Consider the following 21,256-nt stretch of genomic DNA (forward strand, 5'->3'; position numbering starts at 1 on the left):
AGGAAGAACAGACATTCTAATCAATGTTTAAGACTTCGGAGAACTGGCCAGAGGGAGAAAAAGTGTGCTGCAGATGAACAGAAGGAAACCAAGGCAAAGAGAATGTACCCAGAAAGCCATTGATAACGTGATGTTTGTTGAAGGTCAGTGATTTTGTTGATAGTAGGGTGGGGGATGCAACTACGTAAATACACAGTGGTAAGATGCAGATTTCTTTCTTATATAAAGGCCTGTGACAATGAAATATAATTATCCATGTGGCAAACCAGGAATGGGAAGAGAAAAAAAGCAGTCTTGGCTGGGCAGGGTGGCTCACATCTATAATCCCAGCGCTTTGGGAGGTGGAGACAGGAGGATCACTTGAGGCCAGGAGTTTGAGACAAGTCTGGGCATCATAGTGAGACCCCCCGCCACCAATCCCTACAAAAAATTTTAAAAACTAGAAAGGCACAGTGACACACACCTGTAGCCCCAGCTACTGGGGAGGCTGAGGGAGGGGGATGGCTTAAGGTCAGGAGTTTGAGGTTGCAGTGAGCTGCGAGTGCACCACTATACTTTAGCCAGGGTGACTGAATGAGACCCTGCCTCAAAAAAAAAAAGGTAGAAAAAGAAAAATGCAGTCTTTTCTGATTAGGGAAGATAGTTGATGATAAAACAAAACCAAACCCAGATACTTTTCACTTCCTCTAAATGGCAGCACAAAGAAATGGACATAAAAGTAAAGGGGGCGGGGTGAAAAGAGTAAAGGGGGAAGAGTCACACAGGCTGAAAGGAACACTCACATCTTCCTGGCGTCAACACTCAGAGGTGACACGTTTCAGAGCATTGCTTCCTCAGAGAGATGAATGTTTCTGTGCATCCCCACAGGCCAGGCACTGCATGTGTGGATTTCATCTAATCCTTAAAACTTCTATAAGACAGCATTATGATCCCCAGTTTAGGGGTCAGGAAGCCGGGATGCAGAAAGTTAAGTAACTTGCCAAGGACACACGAGGGTAGTCAGTTGCAGAAATGGAATTTTATTTAGGCTTACCATCTCTAAAGCCAACTATACCACAGACTTTAGAATTATTGAAATATCATAGACAAAATACTCCCCCTTTCGCCTCCTCCCCGACCCCCTGCCAGGGATCAGTCCTTCTTGTAAGACAGAGAGAGCACCCAGAGGCAGCTGGCCTGGCTTTACCTCCTGCCTCGCTGTGCACACTACACCTGTTCTTCAGATAACACCACCACTTCCATCAGGGCAACGCCGAGCTCTGCTTACACACAGGTGCCCAGGGGCCTCAGAGAGAGCTGCAGTAAAGCTGCTCCTTTTCTCTCCGAGTGAAGGAGAAAACAAAATATTTACCTTACTGTTTCAGCCTACAGCCGGAAAAGTATAAATCATCTTCGCAAATCTGCTTTTGTCAGGATTTATAAAATCAGCTCCTATGGCGACGACACAAACACAGCTCTCAAAGATACTCTCATTCTACCTGGCATCTCTAACAATGCTAGGTCCCACGTACAAATAAACCAAAAAGGGCCTGAATCTCAGTTCCTGGTAAAAATCTCATCCCATTCCTACTTAGCCTAAAGGTTTTTTTTTTTCTGTTTAAAAAATAATTAAACAGAAAATTAATTTTTTTCCCTTTTCTGTTTAAAAAATAATTTATTGAGGTGAATCACATGCGTAAAATTAGTCTTTTTAAAGTGAACAACTCAGTGGCATTTAGTACATTCATCACTCATAACGTTGTACAAACCATCACGTCTATCTAGTTCCAAAATATTTTCATCATTTGGAAGTAAAATCCCTTATCTATTAAGAATTTATCCTATTATCCCCTCCTCCCAGCCACCAATATGCATTCTGTCTTAATGGAATTTTTTTTTTTTTTTTTTTTTTTTGAGACGGAGTCTCGCTCTGTCGCCCAGACTGGAGTGCATTGGCACGATCTTGGCTCACTGCAGCCTCCGCCTCCTAGGCTCAAGTGATTCTCATGCCTCAGCCTCCTGAGGATTACAGGTGCACGCCACCACGCCTGGCTAGTTTTTTGTATTTTTAAGTAGAGACAAGGTTTCGTTATGTTGGCCAGGCTGGTCTTGAACTCCTGGCCTCAAGTGATCTGTCCATCTTGGCCTCCCAAAGCGCTGGAGTTACAGGCATGAGCTACTGCACCTAGCCATCTTAATGGATTTTTCTATGCTGGGTATTTCATATAAAGAGTATCATACGATACGTGTATGCCTTCTTTCACTTAGCATGATGTTTTGGGTGTATGTTCATGTTGTAGCATTTATCAGTACATTTTTCCTTTTCGTGGCGAAATAATATTCCATTGTATGTCTATACCACCATTTGCATATACGTTCATCCACTGATGGACATTTGGGCTGCTTCCACCATTTGGCTGTTGTAAACAGTGTTGCTATGAACATGCATGTACAAGTATTTGTTCGAGTCCTTGTTTGCACTTCTTTTGGGTGTATACCTAGGAATGGAATTGCAGCAATCATATGGCAATTCTATGCTTACGTTTTTGACGAACTGCCAAACTGTTTTCTACAGTGGCTGTGCCATTTTACATTCGTACCAGCGATGTAAGAGCGTTCCTGAAAAAGTTATTTTAAACATAATTTATGAAACAAAAATCCTGAAATGATTTTCATTAACACTGACCTTTGTAGCTCATGAAAGGATTGGGCGATTTATATAACAGCTTTCCTTCAACAGGCCCTGTGAAATCTCTAATCCTTACCACCCACCCCGCCACCATCAAGTACAGGGAATATGTTAATCACCAGCACAGACACCCAGAAAGGTTCCAGTCTAGCTCCTTGACCAGGACTAACACCCAGGACACAGCTATAGAACAAAAGTTCCAAACCTCAAAAGTTCCATCAAATGCAAGGAGGCATATATTATACCACAGATTTTACATGCAGCAAGAAGTTACAGCAGAGAAGAGCAGAGTGCCCAAAGAAAGATGAATAGAGAAATGAAACCTGAGTAGGACCTTGAAGGACGGGTATAATAAATAATAAAAACGACGACCCACGCAGAGCACACAGCACCACAGCTGCCACGATCCGAACAACCTGCTTGACTGAGGGCGGCCCAGCCGGCTGCCGACGCACAGTAGCTTGGGCAGCAAGAACCGTGAGACAGAGATACTGGAGAGTGGCACCCGCCATCTCTCCCACCAGCCTGGGGCAGTATCTCATTTCCCCAGGGCCGCAGGGAGTACATCTCCTGAAAAAGATCTCCCTTCCTACTTGCTAGGAAAGGCGATGTTGTCATGTTTCATTAGAAACATTCAATTTCTATGGCAAAACAAACTCAGCAATCCTCACGCTGTGCAGGCGAAATGGAAAGTATTTAAGTGTGGTGAGTCTCGCTTGCTAGATGGAAAGGAGGATAATGTGAATATGTATAGGCTCCCTCCCCGCCTCCTCTTTATCACCTGGGGAAGAGGACCATGCTTAGGCCACATGTACCTGCCATCCACAGCCTCCAACCCAGCAAGAAGTTACGTTTTGTCCAGGAGAAGTCTCACTAAGGAGCAGGAGAGTGTAAGCCCCTCAGGTACACCCTGCTATCAGGAGGCAAGGCTGGGCCTGCAGCTGGGGAGGGTGGAGCTGGCATAGGTCCCTCTGCACCAGGCACAAGGTGGCCTTTCCCATGGCAGAACCCCTCACCCTTCACCTTTGGTGATCTTAGGAGATGACTGCTGTCCAGCTGGCATGGCTGTCACCTGCATCCCTCCCATTGACATTCTCAGGGTCAATTCCAGGCTGCCCCAGGTCTGAATCCCTCACAGCACTGGGTCACAATCTGCGCACGCCAGGGGTGTGCGGAGTGAATGCACAGATGTGCCCTCCCGGGAGGCACACCCTGGAAAACATGCATGCTTCCTGTGGCTGCACACTATGCCACCTTTGTCTGGGGCACTGAATCATTAATTCTGGAGCAGGGGCAGTGCTGCTCTGTGCAGTGGTGTCAGCATCATCATTGCCTCGGACAGAATGGAGCAGTGATGCAGATATACGACGTCTGTGCTAACCAAGCATGAGGTTCCCAATGGGACAGGAAAACAAATCCTCAGTGGCGCTCTCTAGAGGGCAGGACACTTGCCTGTGCGAGGTGGGGGGAGGGGAGGGCTGACGTGAGACTGCTGAAATCAGACGTGTTTTCAAGGGTGCCTGAGGCCAGGCCTTTCTAGAGGAGCTGGGGGTTTCCTGCTGTGCACACCACAGCCTGGGGACCCTCAACACGCCTGCTTTCTGCAAGGAATCATCTGGACAGAGTGGGACACAGAGGCTGTACCGTTGTAGTGGTCACCAACATGTGGGTGACCTGAGGCCACGCACTGACCACACAGTGCCCTACGTGATGGGGACAATAAGGCTGCAAGAGCTACCTCAGAGCTATGATGACGGTCACAAAAAGCCCTTTCCTGCAAATACTCAGAAAACGTGAGTCACCATCATCAGCAACGACCTGCTTCAATACAAACTCTTATGTTTAGTTCAAATAGAGAGCCATGCACCCAACTTCTTAAATGGGTATTTCCTTTGTGTACATCCACGCTGTATTTTCTGAAATCTGCACGTTTACAGTTAACCCTCCCACTCTGGTCAATCTATAAATGATATTTCCTCTCCTCAGTTCATTTCTCTCGTGAGGCTTTCTCAGCAGAATTCCCCTCTTGGTCCATGTGGGACTGAGTCTCGCAGGCAGCACTGCGGCTCATTTTTCTGAGGCCTTCCTGTTCCTATGCTCTCACTCAAACGGGGTGTGCCCAGAAGAGATGGTCTCTCTCCAAAGAAGCCCCAGCACATTCCTCAAACCCAGAGCGGCCTCCTCCTTCTGCAGAGCCATGCACATAGTAGGTATTCAAAATCACTTGCAGAATAAACTTTACGAAGCCAAGCACTGAGAAGAAAGAAAAGACAGACCTTTCTATACAAACCTTGACATGCAATAGAAAGAGAAACAGTTCGGAAAAATTTAAAAATAGCACATTTCTCAGAGAAAATCTATCTTCAATCTTTCTGTTTCTGTCAGCGCCAGCACCAAACTAACTGGGACCTGCATGGCGTCCTGTGGGGAGCCACGTGAATGCGTTTCTTGCAAGGGCAGCCCCGATGGAGGAAGGTAAAGCAGTGAACCGGCATCACTCCAGAGGCTGGAATTTCTCCTCTTTGTGCCCAGTGTCTAAGTCGGGTGGTGTCTGGAGATTCCCTATCTACTTCCAACGTGTCCACCTGGATTAGTCTGAGAACCTTAGAAACACAAACAGATAGCGGGAGGAGAAGAACAGGGAAAAGCCAGGGACAGAGAGGCCACGGTGAGAAATAGTAATGTATTTATAGTCTCGGCTAACTGCAGGACGTGAAGAGGCTGTGAGGCTAGACATGAGGCTTAAAACTTACCAAGACCTTTCCTGTTCCCAAAGCCCTCACCTAGAACGTCGGCTCTCATCCAGTGAGCTGTGGCAAAGTCATGTCGGAGAGGTGGTGAGACTTAGCCCAACTCACATAGCTGGCGGGACGCTGAGACCTACGTCTCTCTGTCTCATTACCCTAGTCTAAGCCAAGGGTGGCAGGCCATTCGTGTTCACCGTACAACCAGTGGATACAATCAGCCTTGGTTCTCTCCCCGGGTTTAAGAGCCAGACCCAGGGCCTAAGAAATATATCATTTCTTTGGGGATCAAATGGATAAATGAATAAGAAGATGGATTATACTAAACGCAAATTATTTAGAGGAGGGATAAATCTCTTTTGGTTATGGCAAAGGTAGCACTTGAGTTTCACAAGGGGAATGGGGCAGAACTGGGTTTGGAGGCCTGGAGGCGGGGGAAGGCAGGGAAGGCACCTTATGCCAAAGGCACCGTGCAGACTGGAACGGACGGTGAGCAGGTCAGGCTGCTGCAGAGGCCACATCGGGAGAGAGTGGCAGAGGGGCAGGCTGGGGCTACCCAGTAGGACTTCGAATCCCAGAGCTTCTAATCCCAGGTTAGGGATCTGGACGTGGGAGCCAAGCAGGGAGCACACGAGGAGCAGAGAAAGAAGAACACGCTTTAGGAGGTGTCTTTTGAGAGCAAGGAAGGGCAGTCCCTCCCAGTGCTGCTCCAGACTCCAGCAGCGCAGGCCGGGGCACGAGACAGCGGCGGGAGAGGCTGGGCAGCCTGATCGTAAGCTCAGTTCTGCAAATATTGGGGCCTCTTGCTGCCAGGAGTGGCCCTGAAAACCCACATCTTACACTGGCTGCTCTGAGCTGCAGAGGACACTGTGGAAGGACATTTACAGGCTGTCGACCCTCTTATTTCCTCCAAAAAAATAAGCAAATGCCCCTGTGGAGACAGGGAAGCATCCTGGCTCTGAGCCCAGCATGTGGCCTTGGGCCACAGCCCAGTCACGGGGGTGCATATCCCGGGTCGAGCTGCTGGGACCACTCCAGGCACAGGGACCCTCGCCGAGGCCCAGCACTTAGAATGAGGATACGTACCCCATTACATCCAGGACAAAGGAAGTTCTCTCCCTGGGGGCTGGGGGGAGACCTTTCCTGCAAAGCCAGCTGCTTCTCTGTAGTAAGCTTGAAAATGCCCTCAGGAGGGAGGGTTGCCACAGGGGAAAGCTGGTTTTGAGATAACGATTACAGGGAAAACCATGATGTCTCATGCATGGGCATGCAGGCCATGGGCGTAAATAATCATGTCAGAAGCAAGGGGAGGACTCCTGGGCACACAGAGGACCCCTGGGCACACGGAGGCTGGATCAACAACCCCACTCAGCCTTCATCTTCTCTCTGGACTTGCAAAGTCCTGCTATTTCAGCCATAATAGTTTGTCACTTCTCTGTTTCTAGTGGTCAGTCCTTAACTTTTGGAGGACAAGTTGATGAGCCACATACACAAAACAGCACATAAACTAAAGAAACTGCATGCTATCAATGCTTCCTCCATCAGCAGCTGTTTACGCCCCAGAGTTGTTTTCGTAGGTTCCCCTGTCCGGCCGTTTCCAGAAATGACTGGTTACCCTCCTGGCCATCCTGTGACAGGATGAACAAACATATCTTTTTTACCCAAACACAGCACAACAAAACAAAAACAGGAAGAAAAATTAGGCATGGTACGGCTTATGGGTTTAATATTATCAACAATTTCCCTAGAGGTCATTAGGGGTAAATAGATTTAAAATCATTTTGAAAATATTTTAAAAACGGAAAGTTCTATGAATTTTAGCCCATGTATAGATTTGTGTGACCACCACCACACTGAGAATACAGAACAGCCACATCATCCTAAAACCTCCCGCTGCTGCTCAGGGTGAATGTTTGACTTTCACAAGTGCGGACATCATCTGGCTCTCTTGGTGCCAGATCTATTTATATTCTGGGGGTTCGTACTTAGTGCATTTTATTTGCCAATGTAAGTTCTAATTTACAAAAAGAGGAGGACGAGAAATCCTTCATGGAGGTCAGAGGATGACAAAGAAGTGGCACCAACAGTTTGTCCCTCATGTTCTGGCCAAATAAATTTTATGGCAAACGTCCACATATATAAGGCTGTGACTGGGGATGACACTTCCCCAGTCATGAGAATTAGGACGAGGAAGGAGCTCTAAATACAGAGAACACCATGCACCAGTCTACCTGCTGCCACTGGATACACACACAGCAGCACATGTAACCAACACATACCACACCCAACACATACACCCCTCCACACCCACACTATATCCAACATACACACCCGACACACACCACACACACACACACCCACACACTACACCCAACACACACCACACACACACCCCACACCCCACACACTACACCCAACACATACACCTCCCCCACACCCACACTATACCCAACCTACACACCCAACACCACCACACACACACACACGCAACACATACTACACCCAACACATACAACCCCTCCACACCCACACTATATCCAACATACACACCCCCAACACACACCACACACACAACCACACCCAACACACACCACACCCAACATATACCCCCTCCACACCCACACTATATCCAACATACACACCCAACACACACACACCCAACACATGCACCCCCTCCACACCCGCTATACCCAACATACACACCCAACACACACCACACACACACCACACACACACACCATACCCAACACATACACCCCCTCCACACCCACACTATATCCAACATACACACCCAACACACACACCACACCCAACACACACTACACCCAACACATGCACCCCTCCACACCCACACTATACCCAACATACACACCCAACACACACCACACCCAACACATACACCCCCTCCACACCCACACTATACCCAACATACATACCCCACCACACACACTATACCCAACATACACACCCAACACACCACACACACCACACCCAACACATGCACCCCCTCCACACCCACACTATACCCAACATACACACCCCCAACACATACCACACACACACCCAACACATGCTACATGTGCCCACACTACACCCAACACACACACACACCCCAACACACCCCCACACCCCATACACACAGCAACATATACATACCCCATGTGAACACATACAAACCATACACATGCCTACCATACATAAACACACCCAACACACACCCCATACACACAGACGTGCTCTGTCTTCAGGGGAGTCTTAAACAGGCTCTTTGGCATCACTCCAGCCTTGGCTTTTTGACCCTAGTGATGTCAGTGGTGATACACGTGGCTGCAGGAGGTACCAGCAGGTGTCAAAGGCAGTTTAACCCCCAAGGCCTCCAGCGCCCCGTCCCACCACTCTCCTCGGAGGCCCCTGCACTCCACCGTCGGACTACAGGACTCTAGCGTTGCTCCTGGGCCAGAAGCAGCAGCCTGGAGGTGCAGCTCTCAAGTCAGGAAGTATACCCCCACCTTCCTCCCCAAGCAACCAAGATCTGTCCTCCTCCCTCTGGACTCAGGAAGAGGTGTCTCCTCTCTCCCCAAATGCTGGGCCCTGTCCCTTCCTGGTGCCAGAGGAAACCAACTAACCACACTCCCAACATCCAGGCCCTTGTTCCTTTGGGACCTAGTGAGTCTGATATACGATGCTGGGCCTCCAGGCGCCTGTAAGATGAAAAAGAAATGATTGGGAATACTGGGGATGCCCAGCTTACAAATCATGAATGATGACACCAGGCCAAGGAAAATGCATGCTGTCACAGAAGCATGGATCTGGGTGGGGAGGCTGGGGAAAGCATGGTGCTTATTCGTGACAGAGCTGCTGTGTGCCAGGCATGGCAGAGGGCGAGTTACACGCATGCGGCTATCTCATTCAGTCCCTACCAACCTCATCTTCTCTTAAAAGGGAAAACTACTACCAACTGCTAGTAGTTTCCCCCTTTTTTTTTTTTGAGACGGAGTCTCGCTATGTCGCCCAGGCTGGAGTGCAGTGGCGCAATCTCGGCTCACTGCAAGCTCCGCCTCCTGGGTTCATGCCATTCTCCTGCCTCAGCCTCCTGAGTAGCTGGGACTACAGGCACCCACCAACACGCCCAGCTGATTTTTTGGTATTTTTAGTAGAGACGGTGTTTCACCATGTTAGCCAGGATGGTCTGGATCTCCTGACCTCGTGATCCGCCCGCCTCGGCCTCCCAAAGTGCTGGGATTACAGGTGTGAGGAAGTTTTCTCTTTTAAGAAAAAAGAACAATAAGCCTCAGAAAGGTTTGGGAACCTGCCTGGAGTCACACAGCTGTAAAGTAGCAGATCTGGAATTCAAATCCAGCTCTGTCTGCCAGATGATAGTAATGATAATACAAATAATAACAAGGATGAAAAGATTAGTAAAAAAAAAAAAAAAAAAGAGCAGCTAACATTTCCTGAGTGCTCACTATGTGCCAGGCACGGGTTGAGCAGCTGACGATTGGCCTTACTCTCTCCAGGAAGGCTTTGTTCATGCAGCTCTTACGTACGAAGACAAAGTTACAAGGAACGTGAGCAGCATGTCCACAGAGCCTCAAAAACAGAAAAGCAGGTTGGAGGTTACGAGGCCCCGGGGATGATGCTGTCTTTCTATCCTCAAGGTGACTCAGCCAGGTCTTGCTGCATTTGGCCCCTTCTTTATGCTGGGGAAGTCGCTTCTCATTTTCTGCGAAGGTATAATGGGACAAGACAGATGTTGGCTGATTTCAGGGAACTGATCTGTTCGAAGCTGAATCAGCTGTCTGCAGGCCTTAAATATAAACTTCACACAGGTGGAAAGACGAGATGGGAATAAGTGTTTTTGGTGAGATGTGTACGTTCCCCAAGAGGCGGAAGCGGGCGGCCCCTGTGATTCAGGGTTCAGAGATGCTAGATGCTGTGGCCCAGGACTTAGGCAGCAGTGAAAGTTCCTGCATGAAAGATGACAAGAAACTGGGCATGCGAGGGTTTCCGGTGGGTGACGAGATGAGCTGAGCTACAAGGCATGGGATGCCGCTCATATCATTCATTAATGCATGCAGGCATTCGGTCATTCACTCATTCCACTGATGAGCCTTAGGAAATGGTGTCTGCAACATTTAATAAGCATTAAGGGAGAAAACATGGGACAGAGTAACTGAGCTCAACCTGCTTCTACTGTTTCTGGAGCTTGTATTTCAGCTTTCAGCCCCTCCCCTGCTCTGGAATTCTATCTCAGAGCCCAGCCTGGCTCCCGCCTGCTCACACGGGAGGTAGAGATCCCCAACTCCTCGCAAACGTTTAGAGCTCAACTGTGAATTCTTAGCTTGCATTCTCAGATTTGTCTATAAAGGCATTTTCCTTTTATTCTCTTTCCATTTACAAATGCCACACATGTGATTGGTGGGAAGGACAAAGAGTGACGTCCCAGCACACTGTGGGTCACACTTTCTCTGATTCGGCCACACTGTGGCCTCAGTCAGGTGCACCTTGCATCGCTTTGCTTTTCTGCTTCAGAGCCACCTCTGACCCTGCTCAAGCCCACTCAGTCCTGGCACAAGCTCTGCCCAAGCAAAGCCACAGGGGAGTTAACACCCTGGGGAGCCCTCAACCCCTGCGACCAGAGCCCCGCCTTTGGCCCTTCCCAGGCACACTCCTGGAGGCCTCGGGCAGGCTCCTCAGAGGTGGGACGGAGCCCTGAGTGTACAGCAGCCCAGAATCATGGGGCTTACTCCTCTCAGCATCACTCTCCCGATTCCCTTAGGCCTGTGATCATCTCCTAAACAGGCGATCTGCACCCAAGCCCTTGCTCTTGGGGAAATTCGAGACAGTTGCTTCTGTAACAGCACCATCTCAATCTGTCCCGGAACAAGGGCCACAAGCCCAATACCCGCAAAGCCCTGAGGCTCCATCCGGCACTGGCCGTGGGTTTGCTGGCTTCAATCACCCTCCGTAAGACCCCGCAGGGGAGATTGGTGAGCGAGAGAAGGGTGGCCCTGTCTGCACTGCTGCGACGCAGCGACCTGCTCTCACAGGGCGGCATCGAGGACTCAGAACATGCTAGTGGCCCTAAAAGCCAGGGGAACTGGCAAAATGATTCAAGGTGACAAACTCTGCCTTTTCAGTTTAATGAGAGATGTTCAAGCTGGGAGACCAGGGTGGGCCAGGACAGTGGGGGCTGGCTGTCTACTCGGGGACAGCCTCTTCCATCGCAGACTGGGGACAGATACTGCAGAGCCGAGGGCACTCCTACTCACGTCCTGAAACCTCAGCACAACACAGTGTATGGCACATCTTCGGAATTCAAAAAATTACCTGTTGGATGCATACATGAGAGTTACAGCTCCAAACCCAGCTGTGGCTACAGGGAGAGTTCAGCAGCTCCTTGGCAGTGAGTGCGCTATCCATCGTAAGTCATGCAGGAAGGAAGGCACGTTCATGTCTCCTCTGCTGTTCACCTTTCTATTCCCACCCAGTCCAGGCGTTCCCCTCCTAACCACCCACTGCTTGCCAGTTCACCAACCCACATGACCCCTCCTATGGTACCCCCCAATTATTCTGGATCTCTTCTGTTGCCACCCCTGGGGCATAAAGGGTCTGACCACAAGGAATCTGACAAACGGGCCCTGCAGAAGGGCTCTCAACCACTTGGGAGACAGACGGACAGCTCAATGCCAGGCTGTCATGCCGGCCGCACCCTCTCACCTCCACAGGGTCTACACTACACCCTGGTGGGCTGACACTCTGGAGCCCATGCCATCTAAGCAACAATTCTCAAAGGATAATAATAAAATAAATAAAGAGGGCAGGAGGAAACTTTCGGAGGTGATGGATATGCCTATGGCATAGGCTGTGGTGGTTTCATGGGTATATACTCAGCCCCGAACCCATCAAGTCATGGATATTAAGTATGTACAGCTTTCTGTAAGTAAATCATACCTCAATAAACTGTGTGTGTGTTTTTAAGAATTAGCTGCAGAGCTTGTCCAAATGCATGTCACCTGGCCCCCCACCCCCAGAGGGCCTGCTCATTAGGTTTGTTTCGGCAAGTACCCTGGGTGATGATGGGGCAGGAGGGTCCTTAGATCCCACTTGGAAAATGACTGGTCTCTACCTTGAGCCCAAGAGTAGTTCTGGCCCTACTGTTCTCAGGTTAGAGACATGTATTTGGCAGCTCTGTGGCAAGGCAGAAAACTGGGCCAAGTTTCCAGGGCGTGAACACTGCGTCTGCACCTGGGCCCTCTGTCTCTGGGGACACTGGGGTATTTTCATGTCTTTAAGTGTGTGCGTGTGCCCTTGCATGTCCAAGCATGCTTGCTGCGTGTGCCTTGTGTCTTTCACCACATGGTGGGCGTGTGTGCATTATCAGTAGCTCTGTATGGAGGGCTGAGTGTCAGCTTCTTGGTCACCATGGTTCTCATAAGCACACCTGTGCCTGCATGTCACACATGGGCTTAAACTGTGTCGCCTGAGTCTGTGTGTGTGCATGTGTGTGTGTGCACCTGTGTGTGTGTGAAGAGGGGACTGCAGTACCAGGGCAGTATACACAGAGCATTCCAGTTCAGTTATTTCATACTTATAATTAAATAATAATACTTATTAAGAGAAATTTTAATTGCAAAGTATTTTACCATACAGCTGAAGGTCCCAGAGATGAATAAGGGAAACTTGAAGATAACCTAACAGCCTACATAACTTATTGATTACTTCTCTTCAAAAGAGAAGCTGCAACCCGAAACGCATACATGTACGTATTTATAACAGTCTCCCTGGGCAAATGAAGTTGTCGGTGGGTTGAACAGTTCACTTCATATCTTCAAGTGCAAACTAGAACCTTCTCCTGTTGTTTCTATTAGTAAAAGACAAATTAATTTTAAAAGTTCATGCCTGCGATGCACTTGCTTTCAGAGACCCTCTTTTCAATCAAACCTAACTTCTAGTCACTCACTTTCTATATGCTGTAATCTGCACAAGCTATGCAATTTTTGAAATGACTTATATTTATGGCTTTATAAAGCTATGCCCCTTTTTGAAATGATTGATATTTCCAGCCCAGAGCATGGCATTTTAGAATATGCTCTGTTCTCTGTTGATCAGGGGATCATGGAGGGTTCCCAGTTTCAGCTAATGAGGCCAAGGTCAACCCACAGGAGAGAAAACTGCTCCCTGGCCACAGACTGAACCACCAATTCTGGCCAACCGCCTCATAAACACAGGCCCAGGTCATAATGGGATCCAGATGGAGGAGTGTGGACAGTCACAGCTGACATTCTACTGACCGTGACTCAATGGAACACAGCTTGGGGCAGGGCTAGGACTGGTGCTAAGGTCTCTGGTTTCTCCTTTCAGAGCCTATTTCTTTATAGCAGTGGTGGGATTTGAAACTAGGCTCTGAAAGACTGGAGCTTCAGAACTGAGCCTTAGAGACAGCAAGGTCATTAAACAAAAGAAAGCAAAATAAACAAAAAGCTATTCCCTCTAAGTCAATTCTGCAATCAAAGCATCGGAAAAGTTAAATGCACTAACAATGTCCACATTCATACTATCGGGGGGTAGAACCCCCCATTATAATCTAGGGCCTCATCCCTTCATTCCTGAGTAACAACAGTTGTCTCCTAGCCTCTGGCTCTCAAAACATCCCCACAACTTTTTTTTTTCTTTGCCATTCCAATTGATTTATACCATCATTAATTTTCATTAAACTTCTCCTTTGTTCCAGAATTTACAATGGCTCCCAGCTCTGGCACTTTGGCTCAACCCAAGCCCCTCAAGCCTGTATTCAAAACTCTCTATTGTCAGGCTTCACTCACCGGATTATTATTTTCCAGTACAGGCCTTCGACTCCCGCCAGGTGTCACTGTCTAAGGAGTCACCATCATTTCTCCCATCTTCCCTTATTTATTCCAGTCTCCATGACCCCTAGACTTCCCCATCCCTATCTCATGTTAACTTCCCTGTTAACCCATCTGGCAAAATCTTTCACTGACTTTTAATTTCTTGAACTGGCTTTGCTCATCATTGTTTCCCTAGAGTCTGGCAGAAGGTAGGTTCACAATAAATCTCTGTTGAATGACCAAACATTTAAAATATTGAAGCATCAGAATGACAGTCTTGGCAGTTGGTTTGTGTTTTCCATCTCCTCAAAGAGACTGTGAACTCTGCAAGATTAGGGATCATGCCTTACCCTCTGCACTCTGGAGCACATATCTACTACGGGACACTCAGTAATGAATGTTTGATGAATTGAACTGAAAATTAATCTCCACCCTGATATGGTTTGGATCTGTGTCCCTACCCAAATCTCATGTTGAATTGTGATCTCCAACGTTGGAGGAGGGGCCTGGTGAAAGATGACTGAGTCATGGGGGCACACTTCCCCCTTGCTGTTCTTGTGATTGTGAGTTCTCACGAGATTTGGTTGTTTAAAAGCATGTAGCACCTACCCCACCTCTCTCTTTCTCCTTCTCCAGCCATATAAGATGTGCCTGCTTCCCCTTCACCTTCCTCCATGATTGTAAGTTTCCTGAGGCCTCCCAGCCATGCTTCCTATACACCCCGCAGAACTGTGAGTCAATTAAACCTTTTTTTTTTTAATAAATTACCCAGTCATAGGTAGCTCTTTATGGCAATGCAAGAATGGAATAATACACACCCCCACCTAAAACCACCATGAAATCAACTTGAAGACAGTCTTTGCACCCCAAAGAATCAGACAAAAAAAAAAGGCTGGGCGTGGTGGCTCACGCCTGTAATCCCAGCACTTTGGGAGGCCAAGGCAGGCGGATCACAAGGTCAGGAGATTGAGATCATCCTGGCTAATACAGTGAAACCCCATCTCTACTAAAAATACAAAAAAATTAGCCAGGCGTGGTCATGGGCGCCTGTAGTCCCAGCTACTCAGGAGGCTGAAGCAGAAGAATGGGGTGAACCTGGGAGGCGGAGTTTGCAGTGAGTCGAGATCGCACCACTGCACTCCAGTCTGGGAGACAGAGCAAGACTCCGTCTCAAAAAAAAAAGGTTAGATTATTCTGAAAAAGTGGATTATTTGCTATTTTTCATGTCCTAATTTTTTATGTTCAATTTTTGGGTCCTGGTAACAGTCCTACGTGTTTCAAAAAACTCTAGACAAGAATATTTTGAATAATCCAGAGTAGAAACCAAAAAAAATCTATATATTTTAATCACTGATTACCCTTTGCCTGAATGGCATGTCTTTTTGTTTGTGTTTTTTTCTGAGAGTGGAGTTTAACATTTGGTCTTATTTGTAGTTTACTGGTTCTGCTGATAATGGAAATACCCCAGTACCAATTTATTGCTTGCTCAAAAAAAAAACAAAAAAACTAAAAACAAACAAAATGAACTGGCATCAATGTAGAATTAAATAACAAAAGGGCAGGGGCGCCCAAGGTGAAGTAATACAAGCAAGGATTACCTGCAACTCTGTTCTTTTGGGTGTCAACACCTGAAAGGTGACACCATTAAGAAAATCCCTCTGTCCTTCAGAATAGTGTTTCTCAAAGACTGGTCCTAAGACCCCCTGCCTGGCTCACCTCCAGTTCTCTGAGGCAAGTCTCTGTGGTGGTGGGTGTGGACTTTCTCCCAGGGTACTCCCAGGGAGACTCTGTTCCCAGCAACCTCTCCAGGAGATTCCTGTGCACAGTAAAGCCTGAGAACCTGGGCAGCTGACAGTTAATGACATAACTGACCTTCGAATTGGAAGGGAATACCCCTGCTTCAGACTCGAGAAAAAAACTTAAAAAGCAGCCTTTGTTTCCTGAAAAACACACCAGTGGGCTTGCCTCACAGAATACCAACAGCCACTGTGGCCAGGCACATGCCTGAGAGCTGGGGAAAACAGTTGGCTCCGGGGACACCACCTCCTTTTCCAAGTCCCCAAGGCGAGGATAACATATCCTTGTCTCACACCGTTTCTGTGTCACTAGGTGGGGACAATGGTGGGATGAGACACTTAGCCCAGTCCCATGCAAAATGACAGAGGGACACATAAGTACTCTACCTTTTGAAAGTCAGATGTCCTGGGACGATAATGTGCCCAGCTCAGATACAGGGGGCCGAGGGGAGAAAGTCCCCACCCACCACCTGCAGGACAAAGGCCAACCTGCTGGGAGGCTGGATGCACAGCATGCAATGACTCCTCCAGCCCAGGCGGCTCAAACACACAGCCATTCCCTCACGATGCAGATGCAGCTGAAAGCATCTGAAAGCGTCTTCTTTCTGGGACATGGGCCTTAACGATGGACAATTAAAGAGCTTTTCTTGCCCCCTTTCTTTCCTATAAGAGGCAAAGCCACCAGGAAAATCAACTTGATAAACATGGCCTAGAGCTGGCTGTCCCACACAGCTGGGACGAAAAGAGACAGAGCACTAGAGACTGTCCTCGAAAAATCGGATCGATCTATATGGTGGCAAACCACTGCAGGGCTCAGACAAGGCCTGAGGGAGAAACAGAACATTGCACCAACTTAGAAATGAAGCCTCATTTCAGGCAGAAGAGCCGCTGTCTTTCCTGCTGACCGTATTTTTGGAACCAGGGCTGGGCACAGGGAGGCTGACATGAGGGCCTGAAGGTGACCACAGAAAGGAGAAAGAGGCCTTCTTGCTCAGAATTTTAGGCAATGGTGATTTCAGGGGTGAAAAGAGGGTACTATCACAACTAAACGGAGGGTCCTTCAGAGGGATGTGGGGACACAGGGGCCAGATGTGACTGTGCCTGTCACGAAGTGGGGAAAAGAGGGCTCCTGAGGGCCCAGGAACCGCCAGCAAACCAGCCTACCACACCCACCAGAGGCGTCCAAAAGGCCTGATCTCACCCACAGAGGGGGGCAGGAGAGGATCGCTGTGAGTCCAGGTGAAGGAGTCAGCCCTCCCCAACCCTCACAGGCAAACTTTTACTGCTGCCGCAGGCTTCCTGAGCTAGGATCCCCGATTTTGCGACCTGTCTCCTCAGCACTAGGGGCACCAGCACCAGGCAGGAAAGCAAAGAAAAACTCGCAGAGTCCAAGGGGATGGGCAGGGAGGGCTCCAGGAAGCGTCACATGGGCACCAGAAGGCAAGATGACAAGGGGGTCTTAAGAATCCCCAATTCAGCTTACTCGATTCACCAAGTTTCGCTCTAAGGATGTGCTGCCTTTTAAACAGAGTTTGTCGAAGTCTTTTTACAAGTCGCCATGCTAGCTTTCAGTGAATGTTAATAACACTGGTACGTGTTCATGATGCAGCAATTCAGATGAACTACATAAAAGCCCTAGCAGCCAAGTCAGGGGCTGTTCACCCTGAATTCAGGCCAAGAACTAGAAAGAGCCAGCCTTTGGCATGCTGAATTTACCAACCTAAATACGAAGTGGCACAGCAGCCTCCCAGAGCCAGCACAGCACCAGCTAGCCCCCAATGGGGCTGGTACCCGGGACGGCCACCAGAGCTGGCTTTCAGAGGCCCAGGCACTCTCTACAGAGAATATGTGCTGTCGGTACCGGGCACCCAACCCTCCAGATTCACTCAACCATTGCCCATCCTTCTCCTCTGGAGACAAGGAGAGGCTTCTTGTCTTCCTTGGAGGCTCCTGCCCTGGGCTTACTTCTCCCTGCCATTGGCTCTGGGGCCAGCGGGGCACAGAGTGGATGGCCTGGTCAGGACGAGGGAGTGGAGAGCAAGTGGAGGGGCAGCAGTAGACCCGTCTGTCCGCACGGGGCCTGGTGGTGAAAGCACAGGCCTGTGGAGACCTTTCTGCGCATAGGAAATGAGCGGGAAAGGAATCCTCAGGGCAGGGCAGAGAAGAGGCTCGCAGAGAGCTGTTCTAACTCAGGAAATGCCTCCTAAAGGGAAGAGGGAAGAGACAGAAACAGCATGGGTGAAGAGGCCTCGAAACCTCCTGTGTGAGTCAGGATTAGGATGAAAGGAGACGGGGTGGAAGGTGGGAGGGCATCTGGGGATCCGAACGGAGGGGCTGTTGCTCTCCCAGGGAAGGAGGGCCTGGTGCCCAGCAGGCTGAGGGAGGGGCTGGGAGGAGACTTGCAACAGCTCTGCCTGCAGCCAGGATGGGGGCCCGGACAGGGAGCAAGAAGGGGAAGCTGGCCCAGGTCAGCCCCAGGAATGGGTGACAGGTCAGCTGTGTCGACAAGGCCCTGGGGCATGTTCCAGCCTTCTCTCTGTGGCCTTGAAAGGCGCATGGAGAAAGCACACGGGCAAGCGAGCGTGCTTGCTTGCAAGCAGGATGGCCTCCGGGGACCCCGGTCTTCCTGCCTACGTGGCACGCTCTTAAATGTGCATCCGTCCCATCTTCTCATGGGAGTTTCAGTTTTGTTTCTTGTGACCTCTATCTCCACTGCACTGTTCGGCACCACCCCAAACACACCCCCAGGCTGGTTCCACAGAGCAGGGTCTTGCTTTCCATCCCTGCCGCCTCCCCGCTGTGCACCCGCCATGGCCAGCCACGGAGTGACACACCTAAGCCATGTTACAGCCATGTTACCTCCCAGCTGCCCACGAGGCTGGTGAGAGGATTTCTCCCACTTCATGGGTTAGGAAATGAAGGCATGGAGAAATCAGGCCATTAGGAGAGGAGGGACCAGGTTCACTCTGGCCTTTCCTGACTCCAAAGCCAGCACTCCGATCTCAGCTCCATGTCGGCAGCGGTTCCAATCCTGACTGCATACAGGGGTCCCTGAAAAGCTTCCAGATACCCCAGGATGGCAAGGGCCCTGTCTATATCCCTATACCTAGCACTGCGGCTGGCACATATTAAAAGTGAAATCAAAGCTTGTTGAATGACTGCATGTGTGAGTCCATGACTGAACACACTTCCCTGCCACGGACACTATCATTCCTCCCTCATCCTGACCCAAAGCCTGAAGTCACCTTACCACAGGAGCCACCCAGCTGGCCCCAGACTAGTCTCTCCCTTCCTCCAGCCCTTCTGCACGTGGATAGACAAGGAACCTTCTCGGAACATCCCTTTCAACCCGTTACCTTATGTTGTTCAAGGTTTCCAGGGCTTGCTCTGGGTTTGAGGATACAGTTGCAATTCCTTGATCTGATATTTAAGACCCCCAGTGACCTGGTTCCAACCAGGCTTTCACTCACATCTCCCACCACTCACAAACTGTTCTGGCCAGGCGGGTGTCCTTCTTGTCTCCTGTAAATTCCCACTAGTGTGACTGCGGACTGTGGATGGCACATCCCTCTCTCTCCACCACCTGTCTGGATCCTACCCATCCGGGAGGACGGAACTCTTCTGCTCTGCACCCCAGGTCCCAGGGAGCCCTTCCAACGCTGAACACCTGTGCCACGGATCTTACCTGGCTCCGTTCTAATGTGACTTCTAATTGACATCGCAATGTGCACATGTCCTAATTTCGTAAGTACATTAAGATCACTTGAAGGCAGGAACTGTAGACATATAATTTTATCTCCCCACAGTGACTAAGGTGGCACATTCTCTGTGAGTGCCACTGGGCATTCAGCAGCTCCTGTCTCCTTGTGGACGGTCTTACCTGTAATATCTGGACTGCAAGTAGGTGGAGCACACAGCCTTGGAGACGTGGCTGGCTGAACCAAAGTCGATGACCTTGACTCTGTATGGTTGTCTAGATGGATCCACCAGCATGATGTTTTCTGGTTTGAGGTCAGCGTGGATAAGACCTAGGCTTTTGAGTTTCATCAGGGCTGTGGCTACCTGCTGGAGAACTGGGCGAATGTATTTGAGGGGCAAGGGGCTAAACTTGTTTTGCTTCAGAAAGTCATAGAGGTTCTGCTCCAACATCTCGAAGACCAAGCACGTGTGGTTCTTGTGCTGGAAGCATTCGTAGGCCCGGACGAAGTTATAGTCATCGGCACTCTCCGTGCTCAACCGGGCCAGGATGCTCACTTCAATCTGACCTTGTCGGGCATAGGATGGGTGGTTCTTCAGGATCTTGATGGCTACGATCTCATTGGTGCCCCGTTTCCAGCACTTGACCACTTGCCCAAACGTCCCTCGGCCCAAGAACTCTAAGACCTCGTAGGTGTTGGTCATGGAGCACAGCACCTCATGCTGCACCAGCTGATAGTCGCCCTCGCTGTTGGAGCCGCTGTTTTTGGAGGTGGCAGTAGACGTGGTGGCAGTGGCGACAGTGGCCCCGCTTGCATTATTCTGAATCATGGGTGGATGCTCCTCGATGATCTGCACGCTGCTTGTGTTCTCGATCTCCTCGCTCTTACGCTTGAGTCCACATTTTTGGTAGGTATCAAGGAGGCTCACAGTGCTTCGACGCATTAGGTTGTGTGGTCCGCCGAGGACTTGCCCGGTGACAGAAGTGCTGCTTGCTGAGGTGACCACGATGTGCCCGGTGCTTCCTGGGAAGACGATGGTCTGCTCGTAAGGTAGGCTTGGGTTTGGGACCGGCAAGGAGGTGCTGACGGTTGTGGTGGCTGGCTGCGACAGGGGGATGTTCTTGCTCTGGCTATACACTTTGCTGTGGGAGCCGTACCCAGTCATGTCCCAGTTGGAACTCGGCTCTATTTTCAGTTTCTTCACACTACAGAAGGCACTTGATTGAAGGGTGTGAGGGGAGAAAACTTGCACATGTGAGGCCATACCTACAAGGAAAGGAAAACGAAAAGTAAGTATCGGAGTCACCTTGGTACAAGTAAACTCAACAGATCCCCTTCAGTTCTCATCTGTGGCTTGGGCCATACAGAATATATTCCTCCCACTTGAAAACAAGGTTGAAAAAGTGAATCTCTTCCACCCAGAAGCACATTCTGGTCACTGAGTTTGTGGAACCAAGTGGTTCCAGGGTGCCACTTGCCACCATTAGGTGCCAGCAACACA

General features: G+C 49.4%; 1 protein-coding gene across 13 annotated transcripts in view, besides 4 other annotated features; it reads right to left on the minus strand.

The window, feature by feature from the left end:
• Window positions 1–21,256, minus strand: part of HIPK2 (homeodomain interacting protein kinase 2) — a 216,429-nt gene that overhangs the window by 134,425 nt on the left and 60,748 nt on the right. For all 13 annotated transcript variants that reach the window (XM_047420265.1, NM_001113239.3, XM_047420260.1 and 10 more), the window contains one exon: window positions 19,938–21,021. In XM_047420265.1, coding sequence (XP_047276221.1) covers window positions 19,938–21,021 — 1,084 coding nt within the window. The remainder of the gene's footprint in view (window positions 1–19,937; window positions 21,022–21,256) is intronic.
• Window positions 15,881–16,707: an enhancer, noted in NCBI's record as "NANOG-H3K27ac hESC enhancer chr7:139411674-139412500 (GRCh37/hg19 assembly coordinates)". NCBI's record gives its function as "activates a minimal SCP1, AML or CMV promoter by ChIP-STARR-seq in naive H9 embryonic stem cells {active_cell/tissue: H9 hESC(naive)}" and the evidence as "EXISTENCE:reporter gene assay evidence [ECO:0000049][PMID:30033119]".
• Window positions 18,418–18,907: an enhancer, noted in NCBI's record as "active region_26768". NCBI's record gives its function as "activates an Ori minimal core promoter by ATAC-STARR-seq in GM12878 lymphoblastoid cells {active_cell/tissue: GM12878}" and the evidence as "EXISTENCE:reporter gene assay evidence [ECO:0000049][PMID:35858748]".
• Window positions 20,121–20,621: an enhancer, noted in NCBI's record as "H3K4me1 hESC enhancer chr7:139415914-139416414 (GRCh37/hg19 assembly coordinates)". NCBI's record gives its function as "activates a minimal SCP1, AML or CMV promoter by ChIP-STARR-seq in naive H9 embryonic stem cells {active_cell/tissue: H9 hESC(naive)}" and the evidence as "EXISTENCE:reporter gene assay evidence [ECO:0000049][PMID:30033119]".
• Window positions 20,622–21,122: an enhancer, noted in NCBI's record as "H3K4me1 hESC enhancer chr7:139416415-139416915 (GRCh37/hg19 assembly coordinates)". NCBI's record gives its function as "activates a minimal SCP1, AML or CMV promoter by ChIP-STARR-seq in naive H9 embryonic stem cells {active_cell/tissue: H9 hESC(naive)}" and the evidence as "EXISTENCE:reporter gene assay evidence [ECO:0000049][PMID:30033119]".

Source organism: Homo sapiens, chromosome 7 (assembly GCF_000001405.40).
Source record: "Homo sapiens chromosome 7, GRCh38.p14 Primary Assembly".
NCBI classification, from domain to species: Eukaryota; Metazoa; Chordata; class Mammalia; order Primates; family Hominidae; genus Homo; species Homo sapiens.